General features: G+C 37.5%; 1 protein-coding gene across 12 annotated transcripts in view; it reads right to left on the reverse strand.

The window, feature by feature from the left end:
* The window catches only part of XRN1 (5'-3' exoribonuclease 1), a 141,428-nt gene that overhangs the window by 80,649 nt on the left and 44,610 nt on the right, over positions 1-16,169 (reverse strand). For all 12 annotated transcript variants that reach the window (XM_047448357.1, XM_047448356.1, XM_017006640.2 and 9 more), the window contains 2 exons: positions 13,186-13,289; positions 10,071-10,202 (listed from right to left, as the gene is read on the reverse strand). In XM_047448357.1, the coding sequence (XP_047304313.1) occupies positions 10,071-10,202; positions 13,186-13,289 (236 nt within the window). The remainder of the gene's footprint in view (positions 1-10,070; positions 10,203-13,185; positions 13,290-16,169) is intronic.

A 16,169-nucleotide genomic window follows, 5' to 3' on the forward strand; every position in this document is an offset into this window, starting at 1 on the left:
AAATAGAAAACACAAATGTATGTGGTTACAAGTCAAAATGGTTATCCTCGTCACTGGGGGTGGGGAGGGAGCAGCGGATGGTAATGGATAAAAGGGTGTACAAGGGACTTCCTTGGATTATGGTAATATTCCTGTTATTGTTTCTTGACTTGTATTCTTGTTCCACATGTGAAAATTCATCAAGTAATATACTTATGATTAATACACCTATAATTCGCAAGTATTTTTTGCTCCATATGTATACAGCCATTCTTTGGGAGACATTTCAGGTTCAGTTCCAGACCACCACAATAAAGTGAGTCACATGAATTTTTCTGTTTCCCAGTACATACCAAAGTTATGTTTACACTGAGTCTATTAAGTGTATAATAGCATTATGTCTTTAAAAAATGTATATATCTACTATGGTTTGGATATAGTTTGTTTGACTTCACCAAGTCTCACGTTGAAATCCAATCCCTAATGTTGGAGATGGAGCCTGGTGAGAGATGTCTGGGTCATGGGGTGGATCCTTCATAAATGGCTTGCTGCTGTCTTCCTTGCAATGAGGAGGATACGGGGGTTTATCACTCTACTAGTTCCCATGAGAACTGACTGTTAAAAAGAACCTGGCACCTCCCTCCCTACCCCTCTCTTGCTTCTTTTCTTGCCATGTGATCTGTACACGCCTGTTCCTCTTTGTCTTCTGCTATGAGTGGAAGCTTCCTAAGGCCCTTACCAGAAACATATGCTGATGCCATACTTCTTGTGCAGTCTGCAGAACTTTGAGCCAAACATACCTCTTTTCTTTATAAATTACCCAGCCTCAGACTGGGCTAAGACAATACTTTCATTTTCAAATACAGCTGACACTTGAAAAACACAGGTTTGAATGACATAGGTCCACTTACATGCAGATTTTCCTCCTCCTCTAACACCTCCAAGACAGCAGATGAACCCCTCCTCTGCCTACTCAACATGAAGACGAAGATGAAAACTGTTATGATCAACCACTACCACTTAATTAATAGTAAATATATTTCTCTTATGATTTTATAATAACATTTTCTTCTATCTTACTTTATTGTAAGAACACACTATATAATACATATACAAAATATGCGTTATCAACTACTTATGTTATCGGCAAGTCTTCTGATGAACAGTAGGCTTTTAGCAGTTAAGTTTTGGGGAGTCAAAAGTTGTATGTGCATTTTTTTTACTGTATTGGGGGTCAGCACCCCTACCTCCCACACTGTTCAAAGATCAACTGTACTTTATTGCTCAAAAATGCTAACAGTAGGCTATTAGTAGTTAACTTTTTGTTAGTGGAGGGTCTCACCTTGATATTGATGGCTGTTGATTAGTCAGGGCAGTGGCCGATGAAGGTTGGGATGGCTGACGCAATTTTTGAAAATAAGACAATAATAAAGTTTGCTGTATCAGCTGACTCTTCATGAAAGATTTCTCTGCAGAATGCAATGCTATTTTATAGCATTTTACCCACAAGAGAAGTTCTTTCCAACTTGGAGTCAATGCTCTCAAAGTCTGCCACTGCTTTTCAACTAAATTTATGTAATATCCTAAATCCTTTGCTGTCATTTCAACAATGTTCACAGCATCTTCACTATGAGTAGATTCCATCTCAAGAAACCACTTTCATTGTTCATCTATAAGAAGCTACTCTTGGCCGGGTGCATTGGCTCATGCCTATAATCTAAGCACTTTGGCACGTTGGGAGGCCAAGGCAGGTGGACACTTGAGAGCACGAGTTTGAGACCAACCTGGCCAAAATGGCAAAACTCTGTCTCTACTAAATATAAAAAATTAGCTGCGTATGGTGGCGCTTGCCTGAATCCCAGCTACTCAGGAGGCTGAGGCACGAGAATAGCTTGAACACAAGAGGTGGAGGTTGCAGTGAGCCGAGATCGCACCACTGCACTCTGGCTTGGGTGACAGAGCGAGACTCTGTCTCAAAACAAAACAAAACAAAGAAGCAATTCCTCATCCATTCAAGTTTTATCATGAGAAAGCAGCAATTCATTTCCATCTTAAGGCTCCACTTCTAATTCTAGCTTTTTTTTTGCTATTTCCACCACATCTGCAGTTACTTCCTCCACTGAAGTTTTGAACCTCTCAAAGTCATATAGGAGGGTCGGAATCAACTTCTTTCAAATTCCTGCTAATGTTGATAGATACTTTGAAATCCCATGAATCATGAATGTTCTTAATGGCATCTATAATAGTGAATCCTTTCCAGAACGTTTTCAATTCACCTTGCTCAGATCCATCAGAGCAGTCACTCAGAGTCTCGCTCTGTTGCCCAGGCTGGAGTGCAGTGGTGTGATCTTGGTTCACTGCAACCTCTGCCTCCCAGGTTCAAGCGATTCTACTGCCTCAGCCTCCCAAGTAGCTGGGATTACAGGTGTCCGCCACCACGCTCAGCTAATTTTTGTATTTTTAGTAGAGACAGTGTTTCATCATGTTGGCCAGGCTGGCCTCGAACTACTGACCCCAGGTGATCCACCCACCTCAGCCTCCCAAAGTGCTGGGATTACAGGCATGTGCCACTGTGCCCGGCCAAAAATGTATTTCTTAACTACTAAAACTTGAAAGTTCAAAGTACTCCTTAGTCCATGGGTTGCAGAATGGATGTTGTGTTTGCATGCGTGAATGGATGTTGTGTTTGCATGTGTGAAAACATTATCTCCTTGCATATCTCCATCAGAGCTCTCAGTTGATCAGGTGCACTGTCAATGAACAGTAATATTTGGAAAGGATCTTTTACTATGACCAGTAGGTCTCAAGAGTGGACTTAACATATTCAGTAAACCACACTGTTAACAGATGTGCTGTCATTCAGACTTCGCTGTTCCATTTATAGAGCACAGGCATAGATTTAGCACAATTCTTAAAGGCCCCAGGATTTTCAGAATGGTCAATGAGCACCGGGTTCAACTTAAAGTAACCAGTTGCACTTTTCCCTAACAAGAGAGTTAACCTGATTTTTGAGGCTTTGAAGCCAGGCATTGGCTTCTCCTCTGCACCTATGGAAGTCCAGGATGGCATCTTATTCCAATAGAAGGCTGTTTTGTCTAGGGTTGTTGTTTAGTGTAGCCATCTTCATCAACAATCTTAGCTAGATCTGGATGACTCACTACAGCTTCTACATTAGCATTTGTTGCTTCAGCTCACACTTTATATTATGAAGATGGCTTCTTTCCTTAAACTTCATGAACCAACCTCTGCTTACTTCAAACTTTTCTTCTGCAGCTTCCTCACCTCTCTCAGCCTTTATAGAATTGAAGAAAGGTAGGGCCTTACTGTGGATTAACCTTTGGCTTAAGGGAATGCTGTGACTAGTGTCATCTTCTATCCAGACCACTAAAACTTTCTCCATATTAGCAATAAGGTTGTTTAATTTGCTTATCATTGGTGTATTCACTGGAGTAGCACTTTTGATTTCCTTCAAGAATTTTTCTTTTGTATTCACAACTATTTGGTGCAAGAAGCCTAGCTTTTGGCCTGTATCAGCTTTTGACATGCCTTCTTCACTAAGCTTAATCATTTCCAGCTTTTGATTTAAACCTAGAAACATGTGATTCTTCCTTTCACTTGACTACTTAAGAGGACATTGTAGGGCTACTAACTGGCCTAATTTCAATATTGCTATGTCTCATGGAATAGGGAAAGAGAAAGAGACTAGGGGACCGTTGGTTGGTAGAGCAGTCAGCACACACACAACATTTATTGATTAATTCACCATCTCAAATGGGCATGGTTGATGGTGACCAAAAACAATTACAATAGTAACATTAAAAATCACTGATCATAGATGACCATGACAGATATAAAAATAACAATAATAAAGTTTGAAATATTGTGAGAATTACCAAAATGTGACACACAGGCATGAAGTGAGCACATACTGTTGGAAAAAATGGCACTGATAGAGTTGCAACATGGTTGTCGCAAGCCTCTAATTTGTAAAAAAAAATGCAACTATCTCTGAAGCACAATAAAGAGAAGCACAATAAAACAAGGTATGGCTGTATTTCGATGCTTCTATTAAAATAAAATCCCCCAAATAGTTAGCTCAAAACTTTTAAATTCCCAAGTGGTTGGAAGATTTTCGTCCATTTACTTTTTCTTTTACTATATACTTTTACTGCTTTGGGGTCAGTGTTGTTGTCTGTTTTAAAATTTCTTAGCCAGACTTGGTGGCTCACCCTTGTAATTCCAAGTACTCCAGAGGCTAAGGCAGGAGTATCACTTGAGGCTAGGTGTTTGAGACTAGCCTGAGCAACACAGTGATACCCCATCTCTACAAAAAATTAAAATAGTAGCCTGGCATGGTGGTATGCACCTATAGTCCCAGCTATTGCAGAGGCGGAGGCAGGAGGATTGCTCGAACTCAGGAGCTCCAGGTTGTGGTGAGGTATAATATGAATGTGCCACTGCACTCCACCCTGAGTGACATAGTAAGACCCCGTCTCACTAAAAAAAAAAAAAATATATATATATATATATATATATATGAATGAAATAAAATTTATTGTATTTTCTTACTATCCTGCATGAAAGGGTTTTTAATATATGGTGCATAATCTGATCTATAACTTTTACAGCAATGCATTATATTATTTTGATTCTATTTTTGCATATTTGTTTTTTGATTACTAGATCTGTCAGGAGCTGTTCTCCAAATTATCCTCTATGTGCATCACTTTCTCCATGATGTCCTATAAAGTACTTCCTTGCCCCCTTTTCCAGGTCTTCTTCCATTCCTAAACCTTTTCACTCCATTTTATCCTCAACTTCTACCTCCTTATCTGAAGGTTCCACCACTTCCCTATCAAATAGTAGTTGTTTGTTTTCATACCATGCACCCTCAGGGGTAGGAGAGTGTTTTGGTATTCTCCTTACAGCCCACTGAGACCTCAAAATCTCTAGTAGAAAACTACCCTCCACTTCCCATTCTATTCTTATGTCAATGTCTACATGTATGATCTACCCACCACTGTAACTCATTTTCATAATCTCTTTATCTCCAATAACCTCCTTCATTTCACCTAAGCCAGCAATTTCTTTTTTTTTTTTTTTATTATACTTTAAGTTTTAGGATACATGTGCACATTGTGCAGGTTAGTTACATATGTATACATATGCCATGCTGGTGCGTTGCACCCACTCGTCATCTAGCATTAGGTATATCTCCTAATGCTATCCCTCCCCACTCCCACCACCCCACAACAGTCCCCAGAGTGTGATATTCCCCTTCCTGTGTCCATGTGATCTCATTGTTCAGTTCCCACCTATGAGTGAGAATATGCGGTGTTTGGTTTTTTGTTCTTGCGATAGTTTACTGAGAATGATGATTTCCAATTTCATCCATGTCCCTACAAAGGACATGAACTCATCATTTTTTATGGCTGCATAGTATTCCATGGTGTATATGTGCCACATTTTCTTAATCCAGTCTATCATTGTTGGACATTTGGGTTGGTTCCAAGTCTTTGCTATTGTGAATACTGCTGCAATAAACATACGTGTGCATGTGTCTTTATAGCAGCATGATTTATAGTCCTTTGGGTATATACCCCGTAATGGGATGGCTGGGTCAAATGGTATTTCCAGTTCTAGATCCCTGAGGAATTGCCACACTGACTTCCACAATGGTTGAACTAGTTTACAGTCCCACCAACAGTGTAAAAGTGTTCCTATTTCTCCACATCCTCTCCAGCACCTGTTGTTTCCTGACTTTTTAATGACTGCCATTCTAACTGGTGTGAGATGGTATCTCATTGTGGTTTTGATTTGCATTTCTCTGATGGCCAGTGATCATGAGCATTTTTTCATGTGTTTTTTGGCTGCATAAATGTCTTCTTTTGAGAAGTGTCTGTTCATGTCCTTCGCCCACTTTTTGATGGGGTTGTTTGTTTTTTTCTTGTAAATTTGTTTGAGTTCATTGTAGATTCTGGATATTAGCCCTTTGTCAGATGAGTAGGTTGCAAAAATTTTCTCCCATTTTGTAGGTCGCCTGTTCACTCTGATGGTAGTTTCTTTTGCTGTGCAGAAGCTCTTTAGTTTAATTAGATCCCATTTGTCAATTTTGTCTTTTGTTGCCATTGCTTTTGGTGTTTTAGACATGAAGTCCTTGCCCATGCCTATGTCCTGAATGGTAATGCCTAGGTTTTCTTCTAGGGTTTTTATGGTTTTAGGTCTAACGTTTAAGTCTTTAATCCATCTTGAATTAATTTTTGTATAAGGTGTAAGGAAGGGATCCAGTTTCAGCTTTCTACATATGGCTAGCCAGTTTTCCCAGCACCATTTATTAAATAGGGAATCCTTTCCCCATTGCTTGTTTTTCTCAGGTTTGTCAAAGATCAGATAGTTGTAGATATGCGTAAGCCAGCAATTTCTATGGCTATGACTTGGTTTTTGACATTATCCATAACTACCGAACCTCTGAAATCACTAACACAAACATCTCACTGTCTGATAACTTCCTCTTCATCCAACTTGCATGTTCAACTACTTTGTTCAATTTTATCTAGGATTTCCAAACCACTAAACTTTCTATCTTCTCCCAGACCTTTTTTTTTTTTTGAGACAGTCTTGCTCTGTTGCCCAGGCTGGAGTGCAGTGGTGTGATCTTGGCTCACTGCAACCTCTGCCTCCCAGGTTCAAGTGATTCTCCAGCCTCAGCTTCTGGAGTAGTTGGGACTACAGGCAGGCGCTGCCATGCCCAGCTAATTTTTGTATTTTTAGAAGAGATGGGGTTTTGCCATGTTGGGCAGGCTGGTCTTGAACTCCTGACCTCAAGAGATCTGCCCATCTTGGCCTCCCAAAGTGCTGGGATTACAGTCATGAGCCACCGTGCCTGGCCTCCCAGACTATTACTACTATTACTGTCTACTTTCTTCACTTCTCCCTCTATCCCACTTAGATTTCACCATCCACCACTTCAGTAACATTCTTGCCAATATTCTAAACTCTCTTGCCTCTTTGTCTCTTCATTGTGCTCATGTGGCAAAATCCAGTGCTGAGTAAATCCAGCCATTTGTTTTTTCTAAGGCTGTGACTGGTGAACTCACTTCTATCCCAAAACACAGGGTAGAATGTTTCATTATAAATTATGACTCCAACTTCAAAAAGGATCCTCAATACTGCTTACCATTCTACCACATTTTCCTGATAAACTGATAGTCTTCTATTTCCCTGAATAACTATTTTCAAACCTCCTTCACTCTACTTCAACTTATGACCAACCTTCCTTTTCCTCCAGCCATCCTCAATAGCTAAACTCAGCATCTGCTTTACAAGGAAAATATAATCAAATGAGAGCTCCTCAGCTTTCCCCATGCCAAACACACAAACCAACTTATATTTGCTTCCCATACTGTTAAAACAGAGGAGCTATCTCATATCCTATTTAAGAATCCATCTCCTTCCATCTTAGAATTTATTGTTTTCTCTCTGCTCCTTCTCATTGTTTTTACACACAATTAAAACTCTCTGAATAAACCAAAAACCAGCTCTACTCAATCCTATATCCTTCTTTAGCTATCTCTTACTGGTGATTTTCATCAGAAAAAAAATTTGTTACACAGGTATACAGAAATTTATTAGGTACATCATATGTGCTTAGAGGGTTTCTCAAAATAAAACTACATGATTTGGTACTTATGGAAATATTTCATGTATATGTTTATAGGAAAAGAATATACTCAACTTAGTAGAACATATCTTAGTTAAGATACATGGAGATATGAGATAAGTAATAGGTTCTACATTCTTCCTGCAAAAGTCATAGAGCTAAGAATGCTCTGCATAAGGATAACTCCTATTGTTAGAGCCATGGAATCCTCACCTCATGCTACTAACATTCTAATGTGCAAAAATCACAAATAAGTAAACCCTCAGGGGCAGAGCAACAGTAATCTTGTGAATTTCACCTTGGAAGACAGAAGAGCTAGGGAGGCATGAAAGGAAGGGACAAAAAGTGAGATGGTATCAGGGGGGAATATGGTAGCAAAGAAAAGCAGTCTAAGAAAATGGTGACCAGAATAAAATAAACCTAAGTGCTCATGAATCCACATAGCCTTGTCTACCCAACTTGGTCGACAAGGTTAAACAGGACAGCCTGAATTGGCAGGCACTAGAAACTATTCTCGAGTGAACGAGTATACATTGTTATCATCTCCAGCAGTCTTCTGCATTGACGACTCTCTCTGTCCTTTGCTGCCCTCATAGAAGTTCAAGCTCATTCAGAAGGGGAACAACAGATAAGAGGTCAAGATCTCTTGGTCTCTCTCTCACAGCTGAACTTTTTGAACAAGTTGTCAATTTCTACTGTGTCTCCACTTCTGCAACTCTCAATCATTCCTTTACCCACTCTAGTTTGGCTTTCAGCTCCATGGCTCAATCAATACAGCTCTTGCTAAATCTCTTCAAAATATACGGTGTGGTTTATTACCTTGTTCTTGAAATAATCTTTTCCTTTGGTTTACATGATATAACCCTCTTCTAGCTGTCCTCCTACTTCTGAGGTTGCCACTTTCTTTTTTCTTTGTTGCCAAATCTTCCTCAATACACACTGCTTTTCCTCCTGCCACAGGGCTTTTCATGTAAGTCTTCCCTCATCATGAAACACTTCCTTTTCATTCCTTGCCTAACTCCCAGTCAGCATTCAGATATCGATTTAATCAATACTTCCTTGGGAAACTGTCCCTGACTATGACAAATTCCTCCCTAGCTAAGTCAAATGGTCTCAGAGCACTACTCCTTCAAGTGCAATTACCATAGTTGTCTCCCATCCAGCAGCTGTAAATATCATAAGTGTAGGAACTGTGTGTTTTTACTCATTATTATTCATTACGTGTTTTTATTCATTACAATGCATACTACTGTATCTATTATGGCAGGTATCAATACATTGATATTCACATATCAATGTTACATATATAAACAAATGACTAAACACTTTACCCGAAGTACTTTGAATGATTTTTTTTTCCAATTAAAGGAGTCTTGACTAAAATATTATCTATTCATTCAAACAATAACTCAGTAACTGAGTGCCTAGGCACTAACCAATAAATTGGAATAAAGAAGTAACAAAAACAGATATGCTCTCTACTCTTATGGTGCATACTATCTAAAGAAAGAGTTATTAAATTAATCATACAAGTAAGTTTATTATGGTTTTATTTATATGCTACAAAAGACAACTTAGAATGATATAAACTATGATGGGGTATCTAATTTACACTGTTGGGAGGCAAAAATATGCTCTACCTCTCGAGAGCTATGTTTATCTCCTTTGGTGTTGGATGGTTTTTCATGGTCTTTGAACGTTTTCCCGGTTTATTCATCTTTGAATAAGGATATTGTGGCCTGGTATTAGCCCCAAAATTAGAAGGAGTATCCCTGAATTCTCCGAAAGCTTATCCATGGATAGGAAGGCTGATGGTATACATTTAAAACATTTCATGTGCCAATGCCAGCCTCTCGTATTCTGCTTTTGTTTTGGGAATTCTTGTGTTTGGATGGCAAAGGAGAGGTGCTGCTGGGGTGGGATCATGGGACACAAAACACTCTGGTGATCCTGAAAACCAACATTCCCAGGTGGGTTAGCATTTCAGTTTGGCTGCATTCTAAGCCCTGGGGAATATGGCTTGGGTGGAAGAGAGTAAAGGGAATGGGGAACGGGAGAAGATGAGGAACAAAACAGGATTTTTCTTCCAATTTTCATGACTTACATGTGGCCAAAAAATTCAATGGCCTTATACAGTTAGTGAAAATAGCTCTCAAAATCAGTCAATGTATTAAGTGTTATTCCTAGTATTACATTAATTTGTCATTTTTTTTCTATACTTCATTAGGTATTTTAGTGACAAACTGGGCAAGGCTGTAACTACTGCTAATCAGGTATCATTTTAAACTAGAACTCATTACTTTCTAAAACAGGATGAAGGTGTAATTAGTATTCAGAGTAACTACTATGTTAAATGGAAAATAAGTTAGAGAATGAGTACATTAAAACGGATTTTAGTTCCATGATATTAAATACTTTTAACGATACTCACTGTTCTGAAATTCCTTGTACTTCTTTTGCCCAGTTAGATTGTTCTTTATCTCCAAGATGAACCACTTTAGATGGTGGGGCAGTTCTTCCTGAATAAAGCTTCTGTGTTCCTGGAGGTTCTTCCAAGTAAAACCTTAAGAGTTAAAATAAAAATTATATAACCAAAATGTTCTGGTTTAATATAGAGTTCTAGCAGTGTGAGTCTTCCAAATGAAATATTTTTTTCACATGGTATACTAGCAAAAAACCCCACAACTGTAATGTAAATTACAAAACTATAATAATTACAGGTCTTTTTATAAACTAATATAAATTACAGAACAAGGCTTGTTAATTTCATTCAAATTTTAAAAGCATGGGAAGTACAGAGGAAGAAGAAGATAAGTTGGTTAATACAAAGTTAGATAGAAGGAATAAGTTCCAGTGTTCTATAGCAACAGTAGGTTGACCACAGTTAACAATTTAGTGTATATTTGAAAATAGCCAGAAGAGATTGAAAATGTTCCCAACACAAAGAAATGATAAGTGTTTGAGGTAACAGATAATTTGAAAATTACATGTCATATACATGGATCAAAATATCACATGTATTCTACAAATATATACAATTATTATGTATCAAAAAAATTTAAGGTTGGGTGCAGTGGCTCATGCCTGTAATCATAGCATTTTGGGAGGCTGAGATGTGAGGATTACTTGAGGCCAGAAATTCAAGACCACCCTGGCAACATATTGAGACAGTGTCTCTACAAAGAAAAATAAAAAAAATATGCCAGGTATGGTAACACATATCTGTAGTCCCAGATACTCGGGAGGCTAAGATGGGAGGATCACTTGAGCCCAGGAGTTTGAGGCTGCAGTGAGCTATGATTGCCACTGCACTTGGGGCGACAGAGCAAGACCTTGTCTCTCCCAATCAGTCAGTCAGTCAATAAAATTTAAAAGCATATTTTTTTCCTAAGAGACTAAACATATAAAAATAAACATTTTTAAAGAGTTAAAAATACAAATTCAATATGAAGTATGCATTATCTACAAAGTTTTTTTTTTTTTTTAAGAGATGGGGTCTCATTCTGTCACCCAAGCTGGAGTACAGTGGAGTGATCATAGCTCACTGCAGCCTCAAACTTCTGGGCTCAAGCAATCCTCCTGCCTCAGTCTCTTGAGAAGCTAGGACTACAGGTGCACACCACCATGCCTAGCTAATGATTTTATTTTTTGTAGAGACAGAGTCTCACTATGATGCCCAGGCTGGTCTTGAACTCCTGGCCTCAAGAGATCCTCTCACCTCGGCCTCCCAAAGTGCTGAGATTACAGGCTTGAGCCACCACACCTGGCCCCTATAAAGTATTTTCACCAAAACAGTTTAACCTGAATCTAATTCAGCTACTAGCCCTAACTTCTAGCTTACAGGAAATATGTGGGATAGACGACAAAGTTAAATGACACTAAAAGGAAACAACAGAGTAAATCCAGAATTCTACAAAATAACTGGCTGTCCTAAACTCTAAAAATAAAATAAAAAGGAAAAAATATTCTAAGATATAAAATCAACATAAAAAATCAATTGTATTTTTATATACTAGCAGGGGAAACAAATTTAAAACATAATACCATTCATACTCACTCCAAGAAAAATTACATACTCAGGTATAAGTCTAACAAAACATGTACCTGATCAGTATGATGAAAAAAACCAAAACAATGATGAGAGAAATCAAAGATCTAAATAAATGAAGAGATATATTGTGTTCATGGATAAGAATATTCAACATAGTTAAATCTCCCCAAATTGATCTATAGGTTTAATACAATTCATATAAAAATCCCTCCAAGATTTTTTGGAGATATAGGAAAATTATAAAATGTATATGAAAAGGCAAAGGACCTAAAATAGCTAAAACAATTCTGAAAAAAAAAAAAAAAAAAAGTGAAGTTGAAGGAATCACACTACCTGATGTTAAGACCATGGTAATCAAGCCAATGTGTTACTGGCATAAAAACAGACATGGAGGAAGCACAGTCTTTTCAACAAATGATGCTGAAGCAACTGAATATTCATACACAAATACATGAAAGTAGATCTGCCCCTTATACCTTATACAAAAATTAATTCAAAATGGATTACTGATTTCATATAAAATGAGGTAAACCTATAAAACTTTTCAAAGAAAATATCAAAGAAAATCTTCTGGATCTAGGGCTAGAATAAGAGCTCTTAGACATGACACCAAAAGCATAAAAAAATTAATAAATTGGACTTCATCAGAAAGGTAGGGGAATTAAATTCTGATAAAAAAAATCCTCAAGATTTCATATACAAAAGCAGATGCCAACAAAGGAAAAAAACCGTACTGGCACTGACTTCTCATCAACATTACATAAAATAACATAATGGAGAGATGTATGCAGAGCTCTAAGAGAAAAGGAAAAGAAACTGGGCCTCCAAAATTCTAAACCTATGTGTAAATTTAAAAAAAAAAAAAGACATTTCGGATGTGTAATAACTCAAAATCAAAAAACATAATATCTACCCATCTTCTCTGAAAAAAAATTATTTCAGAAAATTCTAGCCATATGAAAAATAAAATATAAGAAATCAAGATAAAATTTATATGAAATAATAAAAAAACGACAAAAAATAATTTATCTAAACATTTATTGATATAAACGATTGTGAATTTCAATGAAATGTTAAGATATTTTTCTTAAAACAAAAGATATGTGCCCTAAAAAATTAATGTACAATTTAAATGAAATCCAGATGGGGCAGGGAAAAGGGAAGGTTACATATGCTATTAATTCTTGTTAGAAAGAGAAATGTATTTGCTAAGTAATATAATGATAACCACTTCTAGAAAAGAATTAGGATATAGAACTTCCAAGAAATTAAAAGGGAAAAAATAACATATGCATCTAAAATATCTCAAGAGAGGTACAATAAACTGTCAATAGTGTTTGAACTTCAAGTGGTGTCATTAGACGACTTTCATTTTTGGTACAGAGTGTAAATGTTCTTAATATAATTTTGTCAGTTAAAAAAATGAATCAATAAAAGCCATCAAAGTCACAAAGCAAATATATGTTAGAAAAATTATAAATCAAATCTTACTTACTTAGTTTCTCCATCTGATACAGCCACGACTCTAGCTTCCTCAAGGTGAGGCCAATTAACAAAGACAGATTTTCCAAGCACTGATGAAGCTACATTTTCTACGGTCTTAAAGTAAAAGCAAAAAAGTTCATTCATGATTTCAGGTCTAAGAGAAAACTTTACACAGGCAAAATTTTCCAATCTCCATTTAAGTTTTTTAAATTCTAAAATAAACAAGTTGGGGCCGGGTGCAGTGACTCACACCTGTAATCCCAAAACTTAAAGTCCAGAGGTCAAGACCAGCTTGGCAAACATGATGAAACCCCATCTCTACTAAAATTACAAAAATTAGCCAGGTGTGGTGGCACACGCAGTAGTCCCAGCTACCCGGAGGCTGAGGCAGCAGAATCGCTTGAACCCAGGAGGCGGAGGTTGCAGTGAGGTGAGATTGCACCACTGCACTCCAGCCTAGGCAACAGAGCAAGACTCCGTCTCAAAAATAAATAAATAAATAAATAAAATGAACAAGTTGAATTAGTTGCTTTACAAAATTCCATCTTCCATCCAGGTGTAAAACTCTATCATTCTAATTATCTTCCTTATTTTTTTATGGTAACTGAGAAAAATAAAAAGAACAGCAGAAATATCTAGAAAAGAACTATTGACTGTTTCATATCAAATAGTCAATTATTTAAAACAGGATCTAAGAAATACAAGCTCATTTCAGTTTATGGCTGGTGTGATGAAAAAAGAATATTAGACTTAAAATCAGGAGACACGGGTCCAAATTTGGGTTCTACCACTTTTTCAGCTATAGAATCTTTGGCATATCATTTAATCCTACTGAATCTCAGTTTTCTTTTATGAGGAAAAGGAATAACATCTACCTTACAATGTTGAGGATAAAAGAAAATCATATACATGAAAGCTTTCATAAACCATAAAATGCTCTACAAATATTCTGTAGGAAATAATATCTTAAGTAAAAAATTCTAGTTTTAAGAAACTGTAGGCTGGGCGCTGTGGCTCACGCCTGTAATCCCAGCACTTTGGGAGGCCGAGGCAGGTGGATCACGAAGTCAGAAGTTCAAGACCAGCCTGGCCAAGATGGTGAAACCCGGTCTCTACTAAAAATACAAAAAAAAAATTGGCCAAGCGTGGTGACAGGAGCCTGTAATTCCAGCCACTCGGGAGGCTGAGGCAGGAGAATCGCTCCTGGGCAGCAGAGGATGCAGTGACCCAAGATAGCGCCACTGCACTCCAGCCTGGGTGACAGAGTGAGACTCTGTCAAACAAACAAACAAACACATAACTTCTTGACCAAGGGCTTAATACTTGCTACCTTTACTTCCCGTCTACACAATCTTAGCCTAGTTCTCAGAAATTGAAATTCTGCTTCCACCAATCTACCGAAATGGAATTTTCAAAGATCAACATTGATGTTCTAAAAGACAAATTCACAGATCTTATTTGAGTTTTTATTATTCTTCAGATTTATGCAGCTTACATCCTCTGCTCCATGCTTCTGTGGTACTATTTAACTTTGGAATCACTCTTCCTAACCTCTCTGTTTCTACTGGCTCCCTCTCCACCATTTATAACTGTGGGCATTTCTTTATGCTGAGACCATGAACACTCAATGCACCTTGTCTTCAAGGAAATGAACCTCAAAGTCATCAATTCTCTGTTGACAACTTGAATATCCTTCTCTCTCTCCAAGCTCTAGCTCCAGGTATTTAACTGTATATAAATAGCCTTTCTTTTTTTTTTCCTTTTTTGAGATGGAGTTTCGCTCTTGTCACCCAGGCTGGAGTGCAGTGGCGCGATTTTGGCTCACTGCCACGTCCACCTCCTGGGTTCAAGCAATTCTCCTGCCTCAGCCTCCCGAGTAGCTGGGATTACAGGCACCCACCACCAAGTTTGGCTAATTTTTGTATTTTCAGTAGAGATGGGGTTTCACCATGTTGGCCAGACTTGTCTTGAACTCCTGACCTCAGATGATATGCCCGCCTCAGCCTCCAAAAGTGCTGGGATTACAGACGTAAGCCACCATGCCCAGCCATAAACAGACTTTCTAAACAGGTTTTTCATCTGAATCAGAGAACACAAAATACGTCTACTTTCTCTGTTCTCTCAAAGATGGTACATAACTCCTACTGTTCTAAATGCACAGAAGATAAGTTAATTTATTGCTTACAATGAATGACTTAGGGCATTAGGGCTTATACATCTTGTGGAATACTGGTTAAGAAAGGCTGGCAAGGCAGTTCCGGTTAAACATCCTAGTGTTACCTTAAAATTCCATCATTATTTATCATTTCATCCCCCTAAACTATCAACTCCCCTGTTTTAACTTTTCTAGTCCAGTAAATTACAATTTTTTTTTTAGTTAATTAGCCTGGATATCTCAGTCACATTTACTATTAATAGTTTCTCTTTTCACCCCCTGTATTTGACCAAATAATGAAACCTATCAGTTTTATTTCATCTTGTTCATCTAGATCTATTGCTACTTCTGAAGTTTATGTCTCTATCACCTGATGCTACACTCGCAAGCTTTCCCGCTTTCTTTGATTTCTCTTTTGTGCAATTTAGTTTATTATACTGCCACCAAATTAATCTTTATGAAAATATCAATTCCAAAATAATGGTCATGGGAAAATAAGTCCAAACTCAGCCTGGTACTCAAGGTTCGACATAATCTGGCCTCAATCTGATTTTTCAAACTTATCTTCTACTATTTCCAAACACAAATCCTCTGCTTCAATAAGGCTTATTTATTCCTTCTCCTCAAATATATCACATTTATTCTAAAGAAAAGACTAAGTGTTAAGAAATAGTTCAGATACACAAAAAGGTTAAAAACAATAATATATGACATTTTTGACTGAAATGACTGGCTCATGATATTTCTTTTGACTAGAATGCCTTTCCCCTCCTTTTCTGTGTCCTAACCTGTTTTTCAGTCCTCAGCTCAAGCCTATTCTCATTTACAAGTCTATACTT

The sequence above is a fragment of the Homo sapiens genome, chromosome 3 (assembly GCF_000001405.40).
Source record: "Homo sapiens chromosome 3, GRCh38.p14 Primary Assembly".
NCBI lineage: Eukaryota > Metazoa > Chordata > Mammalia > Primates > Hominidae > Homo > Homo sapiens.